Source organism: Homo sapiens, chromosome 18 (genome assembly GCF_000001405.40).
Source record: "Homo sapiens chromosome 18, GRCh38.p14 Primary Assembly".
Classification (NCBI taxonomy): domain Eukaryota; kingdom Metazoa; phylum Chordata; class Mammalia; order Primates; family Hominidae; genus Homo; species Homo sapiens.
The window spans coordinates 31,334,327-31,352,220 of NC_000018.10; the positions used below are offsets into that span (position 1 = coordinate 31,334,327).

General features: G+C 35.9%; 1 protein-coding gene, 1 long non-coding RNA gene and 1 pseudogene across 3 annotated transcripts in view; 1 reads left to right on the top strand and 2 right to left on the bottom strand.

The window, feature by feature from the left end:
- The window catches only part of DSG1 (desmoglein 1), a 41,087-nt gene that overhangs the window by 16,167 nt on the left and 7,026 nt on the right, over positions 1-17,894 (top strand). Inside the window, exons 9-14 of the mRNA NM_001942.4 lie at positions 2,028-2,287; positions 3,989-4,128; positions 5,418-5,699; positions 9,124-9,257; positions 9,600-9,669; positions 11,664-11,872. Of these exons, the coding sequence (NP_001933.2) occupies positions 2,028-2,287; positions 3,989-4,128; positions 5,418-5,699; positions 9,124-9,257; positions 9,600-9,669; positions 11,664-11,872 (1,095 nt within the window). The remainder of the gene's footprint in view (positions 1-2,027; positions 2,288-3,988; positions 4,129-5,417; positions 5,700-9,123; positions 9,258-9,599; positions 9,670-11,663; positions 11,873-17,894) is intronic.
- DSG1-AS1 (DSG1 antisense RNA 1) overlaps positions 9,042-17,894 on the bottom strand; it is an 83,621-nt gene continuing 74,768 nt past the window's right edge. For both annotated transcript variants that reach the window (NR_110788.1, NR_110789.1), the window contains 2 exons: positions 13,394-13,494; positions 9,042-9,372 (listed from right to left, as the gene is read on the bottom strand). This is a non-coding gene — a long non-coding RNA (DSG1 antisense RNA 1). The remainder of the gene's footprint in view (positions 9,373-13,393; positions 13,495-17,894) is intronic.
- On the bottom strand, positions 11,036-11,141 carry RNU6-167P (RNA, U6 small nuclear 167, pseudogene; annotated as a pseudogene).

The window sequence follows — 17,894 nt, forward strand, 5'->3', positions numbered from 1 at the left end:
TAAATATATATATAACATAGAGCTTTTTAATATAGTCTTTCTGCTTATAATCATTTTAGAAAAACAGGTATTGAATTTTAACTGGAGACAGTTTGTCAATACAGTACTCCCAAATAGATCATATAAATTGAAAACACTTAAAAATATATTTTATGCTTACAACAAAGTATAATTAATCCTTAAGGTTAATGTCTTAAGAACTTTTTAAAGCATATTTAATAGAGGCTTTAAAACTGTGTCCATGTCAACATTGTAAGTCAATTATTACACATGTAGAATATTCATCATGTAAATAAAAATGTATTTATTCCTCCCGCGTGTTTTCATAAAATTTAAGTTAAATTACTATAAATGTAGAATTATCACACTCCCATCTCACTGTGGCTGCTGATCAAGGCTTATTAGGAACACAGATATACTGGAAATTTGGTCCAAGTCAACCGGTCCAGAACAACTGGATGCCGTTCTCTTATGTCCTCCCCATATTAATGGTCCACATTTACCTGCAGTAAAATTTCATCTGAGATGTGAGAAAAAAAATTTGCCTCCTAGGGAGCTGATAGTCAAAGTTTCGCCCTGTGCTACACAACTTACACAGTCGATTTTTAAAATCTACAACAGCTGTTTATGGATTGTATATGTTGCATGCAATATATAGTTTCATGGTAAAATATAATCCCTATTTAACTATTTCTTTTTTCAGACTAGGTCTGGAAAACAGACTCTCAAACGACTCTGTCCCCATACGAATGTGTGGCTTTTTGCCTCCTGTGTCTTCTTAAAGTGTCACCATGCCTACAGCTTGTATTTAATTTGAGACAGTACGCAGGTGCTTTAGTTTATCCCTCACAGCATCCCTGCAAATTAGGTTATATTATTTCCATATTGCAGATAAAGACATTGAGGCTCCAAGAGAGCACAGAACCTGCATAAGTTCTCATAGCTAGTAAGTAGTGCAGCCAACATTTAAACCTAGTTTTCTCTAGATATGAAGTTCACATTCTTTCCATGATACTATTTAGGATTCAATACTGGGGAAATTGGAGTCTAATCTATTTTGCCCCAAACTATTATATTACTTTAGAAAATTATTCAACCTATCTGTCCTCAATATCTCTATCTGTAAAATGGGAATGATAATTGTTTGCCCAGACATATCATATATTAAATCCTTTGTTATAGCTATATACATATATATATATTATGTGTGTGTAATGTATATATACTTTTGATTTTACATCCATTCTTTGAATTGCAAATAAAACCAATATTAGAACAAAGATTCAAAATTTTAGCTAAATAGGGGAGTTCAATGCGTGAAATTCTATTTTTATCTAAATTACTCTTGTGAAATTTTAGAAAAATATATTTGGTGTGTATGGGCCTAATGGCATAATTGTTTGTGGATTTTATGTGTTGTGGATATTAATATCATTTTTCATAAAGAAAATCACTACTTTATTATTTTATGAAATAAATATTTCCTAGAACATGTTGAAGAAAATAGATTTATTTATATTATATATATATTACATTATATTATCTGATTTATTCAAAGAGTCACACTTACAGATGTGAAATTTCTTGTAAATAGTTCTTATGGATAAAACCACTCAAATGATTGAAACTCTAGTATATTTGACCCATACTGTGTAATAAATAGCTACTTTCTGAAAAACATAAAATGATTGAAGGTAGGATAAATTGTCTTTGCACTAAAAAATACATACATTTGACTATCTGTATTATTCTAAGTTTTTAATTTGTTTGGTGAACAATCAGAGCTCACGTCATATGTTTTCAACTTTTTAACAATGAATCTAGGGGAATTGAATTGTTTCTTACTTTATTTGCACAAATTTACATCAATTAAAGATTAAAAATTTAAGAATGGATTGTGTATTTGTGTGCATTTGTGTTTCATAAAAGAAAGATAATAAGTTTTTTTTGCTATTATCAAAGGATTTTCTTTCACCTGGAACGTTTTATTTTCTTATAATGAAACTATTTTACTCTGTATTTTCTAGCCCTTAGATTATGAAGCTATGCAGAGTCTGCAACTCAGTATTGGTGTCAGAAATAAAGCTGAATTTCATCATTCAATTATGTCTCAATATAAACTGAAAGCATCTGCAATTTCTGTGACTGTGTTAAATGTAATTGAAGGCCCAGTGTTTCGTCCAGGTTCAAAGACATATGTTGTAACTGGTAATATGGGATCAAATGATAAAGTGGGAGACTTTGTAGCTACTGACCTGGACACAGGTAGACCTTCAACGACTGTTAGGTAAGAATGAGATTTTCAACTAATTTTCCTTACATATTGAACTTAAGTACATATGTTCTTTTTATAGATTATAAGTATCTGAGTTAAAATACTTTTCATTATTTTTGAAACTATCATTTAATTGTAAAAAGTACTATAAACTGTGCATTTAAAATGTTTAACTTAAGAAAACATAAAAATTCATGCAAGATGTAAGATGTTAAACTGTAAAGATGTGATATGTGAAAATAATATGTCTCAAAAGTATCGACACTCCTGTATTTCTATGTCTTATTGATCAATTAGCTGATTACCACAGGCCGTGATTCGTCTCTCAGAAGAGTTTAAGGAATGATTTTCCGATGGCAAATCTGCTCAGCTTGAAATCAATTAGATTTTATTAGCTCATTTCAATTATATTCTTCACTTTATTCAGCATTTAATATTGGTCAATAACGCTGGTGTGAAAATTCGGTTATATTAAGGAAAACTACACCATGTAATTTTTTAAAACTCTATATATGCAGATATTTCTACCAAGTCACAAAAAAATCTGTGCGTGCACATGTACCTGTATTTGCACATGTGACTGTGACAAGAAGAATGGGAGAAGCACTTTACCCATGCATTTTTTGTTGTTTGGGGGTTTTTTGTTTGTTTGTTTGTTGTTTGTTTGTTTTTTGAGACAGAGTTTCACTCTGTCACCCAGGCTGGAGTGCAGTGGCACGATCCCGGTTCACTGCCACCTCTGCCTCCCGGGTTCACGCGATTCTCCTCCCTCAGCCTCCCAAGTAGCTGGGATTACAGGCACCTGCTACCACGCCCAGCTATTTTTGTTTTAGTAGAGAAGGGGTTTCACCATGTTGGCCAGGTCAGTCTCGAACTCCAGAGCTCAGGTGATCCACCCTCCTCAGCCTCCCAAAGTGCTGGGATTACAGGCTTAAGCCACCGCACTCAGCCCACCCATGTGTTTTATAAGTTCTTTCTTGGTGTTCTCCTCACATAGTGTGAGTAGTTCTGTTAGAAGTCCTGTCACACTGTACCATGTTGCTGATGAGCGCTCTTGTACCCCACAGGAGTGAGTTCACTGAAGGTAGACGCAACCCAGAGCTTAGCAGAATGCCAGAGAGAGAGAGAGAGAATTACCTAACCAGTGTTTGTTTCACAAATAATAGATGAGAAGAAAAACACCGAAGTCAAAGATGAGAAAAGAATAGAATAGAGGCTCAAGGCAAGGCCTTAGTTTGGAATTCAAAAGAGGTCTTGTCAAGTTCCAGTGCATGTGAGAAGGAGGAGCAGAAACAGGGGGGAAGTTCAGGCCAAGCTGATGAAGTAACTTCTTTGTAAAAGAATAGTTTAGAATTAGGAGCAGCCTGGGAAATCCTAGGATCTGGGTCTTCTGTAATAGTTCTGCTGCTACTTAAATCAAATGAAAATGAGACTGCAAGCATCAAAGGATTATTCTGACATCCAAGTGGGCATAAAAAGACATTCCATCAGAAATGGGTGCTCAGTAATTTTTTTTTCTTAAATGTAAATCTTGATATATCCCTGAGTGGCTCCATATTGCTAAGACTGCCCTGAAAAAAAATAAAGTCTCTAGTAATTGAAAACTGTATCTAGGGATTATAATTACTCACTGAAAAAAACAATACATTTTAAATTAAAATTTCTTTTTTTAGATAGCTGACATTAATTTGTATCATTTTCTTTCAAATACAGGTATGTAATGGGAAATAATCCAGCTGACCTGCTAGCTGTTGATTCAAGAACAGGCAAACTCACTTTGAAAAATAAAGTTACCAAGGAACAGTACAATATGCTCGGAGGAAAATACCAAGGAACGATTCTCTCTATAGATGGTAAGAAATTAATTTACATTTTTATCTTTTCTAGAGAAAGCTGTATATACCTTAAGATATTAACATTTTAACTATCACATTTTGAAGTAACCCCTTTCCAACAAAAGTTGTCACACTGGGCATTATAGACTCATATCTTTAACAACTTGAGGCAGTATAATTTAGTAGCTAAGACCATGAGTCCTGAAATGAGACTAGATTTGTGTCTTCCACCATCACTTACTAGCTATAGAATCTTAGAGAAGTTATTTAATCCATCTATAGCTGTTGTCTCTTTTTTAAAATGGAACAATAACAATATATGTTTAGAAGGATGTGATGATAATGATAAAAATAGCAACAAAAACAAAACAACAGGATTAGCATAGTTGAGCTGAAAGGACATGGGCTTTGATATCATATAGACTAGATTTAAACATATTTCTGTTATATACTTCCAGAATGTTTTTATTCATTTATTTAGAAAGTGTATAATTGAGTCCTAACTAAATGTCAGCCATTGTGCCAGATTCTAGGGTTACATCGATTAATAAAGTCAGACAACTGAGCTCACATCTATGTAATAAAGATTACAAAAATAACCTCAAACAAATTATTCCCATATTTTTGCTGAATAATTCCACTTTCAATAATATTAGGAAAAGTTTAAATATAACAAGATGAATGCACAAGATGTTAATTACAGCACTAATAATTAAATATTGAAAACCACATCAATAATAGGCAACAGGGTAAGTAAACCATGGTCCATTTGATATAAAATTATATAACCATCAGGAACTATGTTAATACAAAGTTTATTAAAATACAAAAGAATACTTATAGTTTAAAGTAAAAAAAATGGAATGAACCATATGATCACATCAATGTAACATAAATAATAAGCAACCATTCGGCATTATAATTAAGGACAAAAGATCATTTTTAAAAATATCAGCAGGTGTCGTCCTTGGGTGCTGCTACCATGAATTTGGTTTCTGGTTTTGTTTTGCTTCTTTCTGTAATTCTATACTTTTCAAATTATATATAATATCCAACTATTGGTAATGTAAAGAAATAATCCAATAAATAGTATTACTATGACTAATAATGTTAGTTATAAATAATAATATAATAATTTAACTGATTTTTAAAACCGAGTCAAAAACAAGGGATGATTTTCAAGTTAGGAGAAATTATGGGAATAAAGACACTGAAATAAATGTTAATGTAAAAAATAATTCTGTGTTGTCCAACCATTCCTACACTAAATGTCTAAAATATTTCTTCCATTTTGAACGTTATTACAGATAATCTTCAAAGAACTTGCACTGGTACAATTAATATTAACATTCAAAGTTTTGGTAATGACGACAGGACTAATACAGAGCCGAACACTAAAATTACTACCAATACTGGCAGACAAGAAAGTACTTCTTCCACTAACTATGATACCAGCACAACTTCTACTGACTCTAGCCAAGTATATTCTTCTGAACCCGGAAACGGAGCCAAAGATTTGTTATCAGACAATGTACATTTTGGTCCTGCTGGCATTGGACTCCTCATCATGGGATTCTTGGTCTTAGGATGTAAGTACTTTAGCAATCCTATGTATATGTGTCCCCCAAAAAATGCTGGGGGAGGAGTTAAGTTTTCTGATTCTTTGATAAAACGTATTTTACAAATTCTCATTTTGTGCAATTATAAAGAAACTTCTGTGTTTGGCACTGGGTTTATAAGATGAAAAAATTAAACTTTTTGACCCCTTCTAAGACTGTGGAGGATAAAAATTTATTTGCAGTAAGTCTCAATGTAATGGGAAAGTGCCATAACAAGCAGGCTCAAATTGCTATTTCAGTGAAGAAGACAATCAGAAGAGGCTACAGAGGGCGGGGTGTGGTGGCTCATGCCTGTAATCCCAGAACTTTGAGAGGCCAAGGCTGGCAGATCACTTGAGGTCAGAAGTTCAAGACCAGCCTGGCCAATATGGTGAAGCCCACGTCTCTACTAAAAATACAAAAATGATCCGGGCATGGTGGTAGGTGCCTCTAATCCCAGCTACTAAAGAGGCCGAGGCAGGAGAAGTGCTTGAACCCAGGAGGCGGGGGTTCAGTCTCAAAAAAAAAAAAAAGAAAAGAAAAGGCTACAGAGAAAGAGTAAACTCTGAGTTGCATTTTAAAAGATGAATAAGAATTAGCCTGATGGACAAGAGAAAGGGAACACAATACAAGGGGAAAAAAATCTATGTGCAAAAACCTAAAAGAATGAGAGTGCAAAGTACTGCGATGAAGAACTCCAGTGTGCAAGAAATAAAAGATGCGCATGACAGCATGGTGAAAGTTTAGACTAAAAGATAGGCAGGGGCCAGGTCTCAAAGAGATTTTATTTATACTAACACTGCATAGTATTAATAAAAGGATAGTCAAATAGACCGAGGGTTAAACTCTGGTTTCTAAGCCTAATCGTCTGAGTCTTCCGAAGGTCACCTAACCTTTCTGAGCCTTGCTTTTGCCATGTATGAAATAATACTTACCTTAAAACAGTGCTTTGATGATGAAAAAGAAGTACCACACATGAAGCATTTAGCATGTTCTATGGCCACTAGGGTAGCACTAGTCAAGGGTCTAGCTATAAAGGTAGAATCCAGTGGACTCTCCAGGTGGCTGTTAACATTACCTCGAATGATGATAGAAATTAGAGCAAGATAAACCACATGGCACAGTCTTCGGGAAATGAGAACAGGAGCTCTAAAGTAAGTAGGTTGCAGTCTGCACATTACAATTAAATTAATGCAAACATTGTCATTTTCAAATGTGGAATCATAAAATCTTAATGTCAGAAGGTACCTCAGATATTTAAATCAAACGCTCACACAAAATGTGAAGTCAGAGCGCTTATGTATAAAATATCTTTTCTACTTTCATTTTTCTTGGCACGTGAACAGTGGCAGATATGTTTTGCTACATTTATTTGTGAACTGGGTTTTCTCTGATTTTAAATAACTCATGTTTTTGAAGTTTTCATCAACATTGGGCTCATCTAAACAACGAGTCTGGCCATGGTGATAACACAGCTTAGAGCTGGAGTTCTTTTTCCAAAATTTAAAACGTATTTCCAAAAAATGAAATTTTTACATTAACAAATAAGAGTTTATTCTTACTGGCTCATAATTAATTGAAGTAATAACCAGGAAAAGTTCTATGAAACAGAGAAAAGGGAAAGAGAGAAAGAAAAAAGCATTCTCATCAAAATGAACCAAGACAAGATAAAGGCAAAAATGCTAGTGAAGTTGCAGAATATAACATAAAATACATATGAAAAGAGTTCATTCTCTCTGTTATTTATTACCAACTAACATTGTAAAATGTTTAAATTTAATACTTCATAAGAGTAACGTAATTACCCAAGTGCTCATTATCACTACTGTAAATAATACCTAACTTTCATGTTGAGTTTTGTTTGTTTGTTTTCTGGGTTTTTTTTGTTCTTTTGTTTTTTTGTTTTTTTGTTTTTTTTTGAGATGGAGTCTCACTCTCACCCAGGCTGGAGTACAGTGGTGCAATCTCGTCTCACTGTAACCTTTGCCTCCCAGGTTCAAGCGATTCTCCTGCCTCAGCCTCCTGAGTAGCTGGGACTACCCATGTGCACCACCACACCCGGCTAATTTTTGTATTTTTAGTAAAGATGGGGTTTCACCATATTGGCCAGGATGATCTCGATCTCCTGACCTCGTGATCCACCCGCTTTGGCCTCTCAAAGTGCTGGAATTACAGGCGTGAGCCACCGCGCCCGTCCTGAGTTGTTTTTTTACATTGCGGACTACCTCTGGGTACTGTAGTAAATAAAAGATTTATAAATTATATATGGGCCTTAGTCATCACTACCTGTAGACCCAAAGTTTCCTCTAGTAGATTTTCAGAAAACCAATACATGGGCTTCTTTTCCTCTTTTTTTCTTTTTTCTTCTCTCCCTCTCTCCCTTATGTCTATCCTTACTACCTTCCTTCTTCCCTAATTTACTTCCTTCTTTTTTCCTTTCCTCCTTCTTCACAATTTTAATTTACACATTCTTTCTTTCATCCATTTATTCAAAACCATTTACCAAGATTAGATTATATAAGAGGCTGATAATAAATAGATAAATAAGAAAACTCCACTTAACAGCAAAAGACAGTGCTAAGCAGTGTGATGTTTTCTATTTGTATAAGAGTTATTGAAAGAAAAGACACTTGCATAGGGGGAAATAGCCTCACAGAGAATTGTTGGAAGCATGAATAAGATTTTACTGTTGAAATAAAGGCAAGCATATGTTAAAGGAAGACAATAAAGACATGGAGGAGAGAACACAAAGGATCAAATATATTGCCTGACCTTTTCATCTTTCCTTGTTCTCTCCTTTAATATTTTCCTAAATAATGACATGGAAAGATTAATCGGTTTTAATAATGTAATACTATCTGTGATTTTTTTTTTTTTTTTTTTGAGAGAGGGTCTCACTCTGTCACTCAGGCTGGAGTGCAGTGGCACAACCACCGCCCACCTCCCTGGTTGAGCAGCCTCAACCTCCCTGGCTCAAGCCATCCTCCCACCTCAGCCTCCAGAGTAGCTAAGACTGCAGGCAAAAGCCCCCATACACGCCTAATTTTTGTATTTTTTGGTAGAGATAGGGTTTCACCATGTTGCTCAGGCTTGTCTCAAGCTCCTGGGCTCTAGTGATCCACCCACTTCCACCTCCCAAAGTGCTGGAATTACAGGTGTGAGCCACCATGCCAGGCCCACTATTTGTAATTTTTAATACTATAAAATAAACTAAAATTGACTGCAGTCTAATATACAGAAGCTCCCATTTACTTTGGGGTCTGACCATCATTCAGCTTGTATTCTGAAACTTTCATAATTTTAGAACCAACCAGAATTATATTACGAATTCAAATTTAACCATAAAAAATCAGGTTGTTTTGTTTTTTATTTGCACCCAGTGCTAACTCTAGTATTACTATCCCTCCACCACCAGTGGTCCCATTTTTGATGATCTGTTGTGATTGTGGAGGTGCTCCTCGTAGTGCAGCTGGCTTTGAGCCTGTTCCCGAATGTTCAGATGGAGCAATTCATTCATGGGCAGTAGAAGGACCACAGCCTGAACCCAGGGTAAGTGCCACATTCTAAGAAATAGCCGTTGGTAGTCACTGAAATTCAGTCTTTACACATGAACCAAGATGGCCGCCATCACTCACAGTCTATGCTGTTTTTTGTGCTGAGAAAGCTAATGGAGAAAATGAAGAGGAATCAGAAACACAACAAAATTAGATGGAAGTAACCAGGGAAGATTTTCTAAGTGAAGTTCAAATTTTAAATGGATTTCAGAATTTCCTAAATAGTATTTTTTTTTTAGGAAATCTGAGGTAATTTAAGAATAAACCAAATGTATGACTGCAGAAAGATTATAGTCATTGGTCACTACAAATGGAAATGTTGTTTCCTGTCTTTTAGGATATAACCACTGTCATACCACAAATACCACCTGATAACGCAAATATAATTGAATGCATTGACAACTCAGGTAAGAAAAAAGAATTTGTTTAACATCTCAAATGCTTAAGTAGGAAGTCTATTTTCTCTCTTTGATTATTGTTTTTTAATTATCTTATTTTTCTTCAAAAGTGTTTATATCATTCTTTTTTAAATGACTAACTTGTAAATTAAATGGCAAGGAAAAACCTATGGTAATTATTATTGTTATATGCTTCATTTTAAAAATTTTCCTCAACCATCAAAGAGTACTTAGAAGATGTCCAAATTAGGATCTCTATATATGCAGAAGTACTGAATTGTAACCATGAGTAAGTTTTAGTCAAGATTTTTAATTTAATAGAGCAAATTTCATTAACATACATACACACACATATTTCATACACATATATACACTAATTAAAATTAAAGTACAACCCAACTAAAATAGAGCCGTGCTCATTTATTGAGGCTAAAATCTTTATACACAATTAATTTAAGGATTCAAAATTGCTTTGACTTTAGCTGCTTATTATAACAAAGAAAAAAACTGCATCCATTTTCAGTATCATCACAAATATTACCTAAAAAATATTTGTCCAATTTCTTTAATTGAAAGCAAGTAGATGAAACACTATCAAAATCTTTCTAAGCTCTCAACTGAGATTGTGTGCACATGGTGGAGTTTTTTCCAGCACGTGGGTAAGACTGTATAAATACAACTTGCCTTAAAACAGGAATCTAGACCAGTTCACAGGCAGAACCCAGGGAATAATTAGAATTTCACAGTGAGTGGATAACTACCATTATAATAAAAGAACAATTAAAATAACATCTCATATCTGTGAAAATAGTTGTATCACATTACTTTTCTCAAGGTAAATAAATACTATTGGTTAGCTTATTTTTCTCATAGTCTTTTTAAACAGTAACCATTGTTTTCTACTTTAAACTAACAGGCATAGAAATGTGTATAACTTGTAGAACTGGACCTTATTCAAAGAACTCGACACAGTAGTCTTTAAATCTATTTCTCCACCTGATTTGTCCATTTTCATTAATAACCCCAATGTCTTCTCACCTCAAAAGCAGAATCTCATTGTTGACTCGTCGTATTCACTGACACCAAATCAGTTCTCAAGACATTTATCAAATCATCAAATCCATCAGTATTTATTTACACATTTGTTCCCATTAAATCTACAAACTTTTGCACAAATTTTGAACAAAGCACCATAAGAGGCACCAAGGAAAACTGAAGCATGAAAAACAGACTGTTCCCAAACTCAAGATCCTTCACATACTAAAGCCAGTGGATACATATCCCACTGACAACATTCTTCATTCCACAGCAGTTCCACGGTCCCGGCCATCATTTTATCTCACCTACCTCAAATATTTCTTTTTTTTTTAATTTAAAAAAGATGAAACACTTGACCAATTTGCGTATCATCCTGTGCAGGGGCAATCCTAATGTTCTCTATATAGTTCTAATTTTAGTATACGTGCTACTGAAGCGAGTACCTACCTCAAATATAGTAACAGGCTTCCACTTACTCCTCACATCCAAGTGCAAACCCAAGATTCTTCATGAAAACCTTTCTCCTCACATAGCCATGGCCTCCTCTCTGAAAGCCAGTGGTTCTCATGTCTTTTTCTGGATGTCCTGTGCTTCTAGTTATACACTGGGGCTTCTAGTTATACACTGTTTTTTTAACTTTCAGAATTTGAGTATTTTTTCTCCAATTTCCTACAGGTTGAAATCAAATGCTTTAGGACATAGATTTTTTTTAAGTCCTCTGCAGCCTTCACTTCCAGCAGAGAATATAGTAATCTCTCAACAGATAATTATCAAATTAACAAATTAATAATATTATTTTGAGTTCAATATTGTATTTATATCTCCTTTCTTTATGTATTATCTTTTTATTTCTTTGTTCACAAATGCATACCTAAATGAAAAAATCACATATTACAAGGCAAGTTGTTACTTTTTAGTTTATGATAGACTAAAGAAAATAAATTTAATTTGATCAACACTTTTAGGAGTTTATACAAATGAGTATGGTGGCAGAGAAATGCAAGATCTGGGAGGAGGAGAGAGAATGACAGGATTTGAACTAACAGAGGGAGTTAAAACTTCAGGAATGCCTGAGATATGTCAAGAATACTCTGGAACATTAAGAAGAAATTCTATGAGGGAATGTAGAGAAGGAGGTCTGAATATGAATTTCATGGAAAGCTACTTCTGTCAGGTAAGGTCCCTAGCCACATGCCTTTCTCGCCATCCATGTGCCTGCTGCTCTTCACCAAGCTTTCACTAATTCCTAAAGGGGCTTTGGCAGGAGTCTCCTAACTAGATTCTCAGCCTTTAGTTTTTGTGCCCAACAATCCATGCTGTTAATGAATTATATATCTAAAGCTCTGACCTGAGCACTTTACTCCCCAACGTAAGAACAGCCAATGGCTCCCAGCTCTCTTTTGTTCATGGCATGCAATCCAAAGTCCTTAACATGTTAACTAAGATTGTTCACAAAATGAACCCTCCCTCTTATCTCCAATTACTCCTTGCCATCAACTCCACTTGCTGAGCACCTTTGCCACACACCTTTCACCTCCATGTGTTTGCTTATCCTGTGCCCCTCCTGGAATGCTTGCATCCCACTATGTCTCTCACAAACTCCTACCCATCCTTCAAGACCCAGTCCAAATATCACTCTCCCTCCGAAGTTTTTACAGTTAACCCTCTCATCCAAAATAGGATTAATGTTTTCTCATCTGTATTTCTGCAGTACTTTGTTTACACATTTATAGAACCTATCATTGCTAAAATCTGTCCGTTTATATGTCTACCACCACTTTTAGTGTCTCATCCATATATTCTCTACGTTGTATTGCCAGTACATAGCTCAGTTCTAGACATAGAGGCAATAGTTAATGAGAGTGGGGTCAAGAGCCATAGTCTACTTCCAAAACATTGTAAGAACGAGCTGTAGGTGGTGGGAAGAGCATGAAGCCTGGAGAAGCAGCTGCAGGAGAATTTAACTTTGCCATCCCCAGGAAGAGATGCAATTGTCCATGGTTACACATCATGTGATACCCAATCTTAAGGAAGTTCCTGTCCCTGACATCGACTAGAAAAACATTTCTGTCCTTCTACATTCTGGCCTAAAGTGGTTTCATTAACTAACCTAGTGGTTGGTTTAAAGAGTGGCTGATATTTTTAAATAAAATATTGGTAAAAGCATTCAAATAGCAATAGATAGTAATGAGGCTTGTTGAAAACCATAGGAATACTTATTCATATATACAACAAAATATTTTGTTATATTTTAATAACATAGAAATATCTTCCTTCCAATCTCTGATCAAATATCACTTTATCAGAGACCCCTTCCTTGATTACCCTATCTAAAAGAACAGCACCCATCACTTTCTTTTTCTTTACCCTGCATCTGCCACCTCCTGACCATATGCTTCTGTGTTGTCTGTCTCACTCACCCAAAATGTAAGCTCTGTGAGAGAACAGCTGTATCTGGTATTGTTCATTATGCATAGCTAAGTTCCAAACACAGAGGGTCTGGCAAATAGCAAAGGCTCAATCATTTTTTTATATGAATGGCACAATGAGTTGGTTTCCTATAAGGTATTTCTGTTAACCTGAAAGTTTACAATCCACTATTACGAACAACAAAGATGAAACGAAAGTGTATATGTCTTTGGGCTTTTACTTTGAATTTAGAGAGATTATATTTTTTAAAAGTGTCTTTGATCACCTTTAATTTTGTAGAACAGACCCAGAGTCAAATTTTCCTGTTGCTGTGCTGAAAAAGTCATGTTGCAATAAACCTTCACAGAATCATCATATTCACTCCATCTGAAGGAAAGAAACAAAATCCTGAGTGAACCCAACTCAACTATGAACTACTTTTCCAGACAAAAAACAAAACAACACATTTTTATGTCCTTCAAGCTCAGTATTTTTATATACCTCCCTCTAACTTTGTTATAAATAATTCATGTGATTTTTTTTTATTATTATACTTTAAGTTTTAGGGTACATGTGCACATTGTGCAGGTTAGTTACATATGTATACATGTGCCATGCTGGTGCGCTGCACCCACTAACTCGTCATCTAGCATTAGGTATATCTCCCGATGCTATCCCGCCCCCCTCCCCCCACCCCACAACAGTCCCCAGAGTGTGATATTCCCCTTCCTGTGTCCATGTGATCTCATTGTTCAATTCCCACCTATGAGTGAGAATATGCGGTGTTTGGTTTTTTGTTCTTGTGATAGTTTACTGAGAATGATGATTTCCAATTTCATCCATGTCCCTACAAAGGACATGAACTCATCATTTTTTATGGCTGCATAGTATTCCATGGCGTATATGTGCCACATTTTCTTAATCCAGTCTACCATAGATGGACATTTGGGTTGGTTCCAAGTCTTTGCTATTGTGAATAATGCCGCAATAAACATACGTGTGCATGTGTCTTTATAGCAGCATGATTTATTCTCCTTTGGGTATATACCCAGTAATAGGATGGCTGGGTCAAATGGTATTTCTAGTTCTAGATCCCTGAGGAATTGCCACACTGACTTCCACCATGGTTGAACTAGTTTACAGTCCCACCAACAGTGTAAAAGTGTTCCTATTTCTCCACGTCCTCCCCAGCACCTGTTGTTTCCTGACTTTTTAATGATTGCCATTCTAACTGGTGTGAGATGGTATCTCATTGTGGTTTTGATTTGCATTTCTCTGATGGCCAGTGATGATGAGCATTTTTTCATGTGTTTTTTGGCTGCATAAATGTCTTCTTTTGAGAAGTGTCTGTTCATGTCCTTCGCCCACTTTTTGATGGGGTTGTTTTTTTCTTGTAAATTTGTTTGAGTTCATTGTAGATTCTGGATATTAGCCCTTTGTCAGATGAGTAGGTTGCAAAAATTTTCTCCCATTTTGTAGGTTGCCTGTTCACTCTGATGGTAGTTTCTTTTGCTGTGCAGAAGCTCTTTAGTTTAATTAGATCCCATTTGTCAATTTTGTCTTTTGTTGCCATTGCTTTTGGTGTTTTAGACATGAAGTCCTTGCCCATGCCTATGTCCTGAATGGTAATGCCTAGGTTTTCTTCTAGGGTTTTTATGGTTTTAGGTCTAACGTTTAAGTCTTTAATCCATCTTGAATTGATTTTTGTATAAGGTGTAAGGAAGGGATCCAGTTTCACCTTTCTACATATGGCTAGCCAGTTTTCCCAGCACCATTTATTAAATAGGGAATCCTTTCCCCATTGCTTGTTTTTCTCAGGTTTGTCAAAGATCAGATAGTTGTAGATATGCGGTGTTATTTCTGAGGGCTCTGTTCTGTTCCATTGATCTATATCTCTGTTTTGGTACCAGTACCATGCTGTTTTGGTTACTGTAGCCTTATAGTATAGTTTGAAGTCAGGTAGTGTGATGCCTCCAGCTTTGTTCTTTTGGCTTAGGATTGACGTGGCGATGCGGGCTCCTTTTTTGGTTCCATATGAACTTTAAAGTAGTTTTTTCCAATTCTGTGAAGAAAGTCATTGGTAGCTTGATGGGGATGGCATTGAATCTGTAAATTACCTTGGGCAGTATGGCCATTTTCACGATATTGATTCTTCCTACCCATGAGCATGGAATGTTCTTCCATTTGTTTGTGTCCTCTTTTATTTCCTTGAGCAGTGGTTTGTAGTTCTCCTTGAAGAGGTCCTTCACATCCCTTGTAAGTTGGATTCCTAGGTATTTTATTCTCTTTGAAGCAATTGTGAATGGGAGTTCACTCATGATTTGTCTCTCTGTTTGTCTGTTGTTGGTGTATAAGAATGCTTGTGATTTTTATACATTGATTTTGTATCCTGAGACTTTGCTGAAGTTGCTTATCAGCTTAAGGAGATTTTGGGCTGAGACAATGGGGTTTTCTAGATATACAATCATGTCGTCTGCAAACAGGGACAATTTGACTTCCTCTTTTCCTAATTGAATACCCTTTATTTCCTTCTCCTGCCTAATTGCCCTGGCCAGAACTTCCAACACTATGTTGAATAGGAGTGGTGAGAGAGGGCATCCCTGTCTTGTGCCAGTTTTCAAAGGGAATGCTTCCAGTTTTTGCCCATTCAGTATGATACTGGCTGTGGGTTTGTCATAGATAGCTCTTATTATTTTGAAATACGTCCCATCAATACCTAATTTATTGAGAGTTTTTAGCATGAAGGGTTGTTGAATTTTGTCAAAGGCTTTTTCTGCATCTATTGAGATAATCATGTGGTTTTTGTCTTTGGCTCTATTTATATGCTGGATTACATTTATTGATTTGCGTATATTGAACCAGCCTTGCATCCCAGGGATGAAGCCCACTTGATCATGGTGGATAAGCTTTTTGATGTGCTGCTGGATTCGTTTTGCCAGTATTTTATTGAGGATTTTTGCATCAATGTTCATCAAGGATATTGGTCTAAAATTCTCTTTTTTTGTTGTGTCTCTGCCTGGCTTTGGTATCAGAATGATGCTGGCCTCATAAAATGAGTTAGGGAGGATTCTCTCTTTTTCTATTGATTGGAATAGTTTCAGAAGGAATGGTACCAGTTCCTCCTTGTACCTCTGGTAGAATTCGGCTGTGAATCCATCTGGTCCTGGACTCTTTTTGATTGGTAAGCTATTGATTATTGCCACAATTTCAGCTCCTGTTATTGGTCTATTCAGAGATTCAACTTCTACCTGGTTTAGTCTTGGGAGAGTGTATGTGTCCAAGAATTTATCCATTTCTTCTAGATTTTCTAGTTTATTTGCGTAGAGGTGTTTGTAGTATTCTCTGATGGTAGTTTGTATTTCTGTGGGATCAGTGGTGATATCCCCTTTATCATTTTTTATTGCATCTATTTGATTCTTCTCTCTTTTTTTCTTTATTAGTCTTGCTAGCAGTCTATCAATTTTGTTGACCCTTTCAAAAAACCAGTTCCTGGATTCATTAATTTTTTGAAGGGTTTTTTGTGTCTCTATTTCCTTCAGTTCTGCTCTGATCTTAGTTATTTCTTGCCTTCTGCTAGCTTTTGAATGTGTTTGCTCTTGCTTTTCTAGTTCTTTTAATTGTGATGTTAGGGTGTCAATTTGGGATCTTTCCTGCTTTCTCTTGTGGGCATTTAGTGCTATAAATTTCCCTCTACACACTGCTTTGAATGCGTCCCAGAGATTCTGGTATGTTGTGTCTTTGTTCTCGTTGGTTTCAAAGAACATCTTTATTTCTGCCTTCATTTCGTTATGTACCCAGTAGTCATTCAGGAGCAGGTTGTTCAGTTTCCATGTAGTTGAGCGGTTTTAAGTGAGATTCTTAATCCTGAGTTCTAGTTTGATTGCACTGTGGTCTGAGAGATAGTTTGTTATAATTTCCGTTCTTTTACATTTGCTGAGGAGAGCTTTACTTCCCAGTATGTGGTCAATTTTGGAATAGGTGTGGTGTGGTGCTGAAAAAAATGTATATTCTGTTGATTTGGGGTGGAGAGTTCTGTAGATGTCTATTAGGTCCGCCTGGTGCAGAGCTGAGTTCAATTCCTGGGTATCCTTGTTGACTTTCTGTCTCGTTGATCTGTCTAATGTTGACAGTGGGGTGTTAAAGTCTCCCATTATTAATGTGTGGGAGTCTAAGTCTCTTTGTAGGTCACTCAGGATTTGCTTTATGAATCTTGGTGCTCCTGTATTGGGTGCATATATATTTAGGATAGTTAGCTCTTCTTGTTGAATTGATCCCTTTACCATTATGTAATGGCCTTCTTTGTCTCTTTTGATCTTTGTTGGTTTAAAGTCTGTTTTATCAGAGACTAGGATTGCAACCCCTGCCTTTTTTTGTTTTCCATTGGCTGGGTAGATCTTCCTCCACCCTTTTATTTTGAGCCTATGTGTGTCTCTGCACGTGAGATGGGTTTCCTGAATACAGCACACTGATGGGTCTTGACTCTTTATCCAATTTGCCAGTCTGTGTCTTTTAATTGGAGCATTTAGTCCATTTACATTTAAAGTTAATATTGCTATGTGTGAATTTGATCCTGTCATGATGATGTTAGCTGGTTATTTTGCTCGTTAGTTGATGCAGTTTCTTCCTAGTCTCGATGGTCTTTACATTTTGGCATGATTTTGCAGCAGCTGGTACCGGTTGTTCCTTTCCATGTTTAGTGCTTCCTTCAGGAGCTCTTGTAAGGCAGGCCTGGTGGTGACAAAATCTCTCAGCATTTGCTTGTCTGTAAAGGATTTTATTTCTCCTTC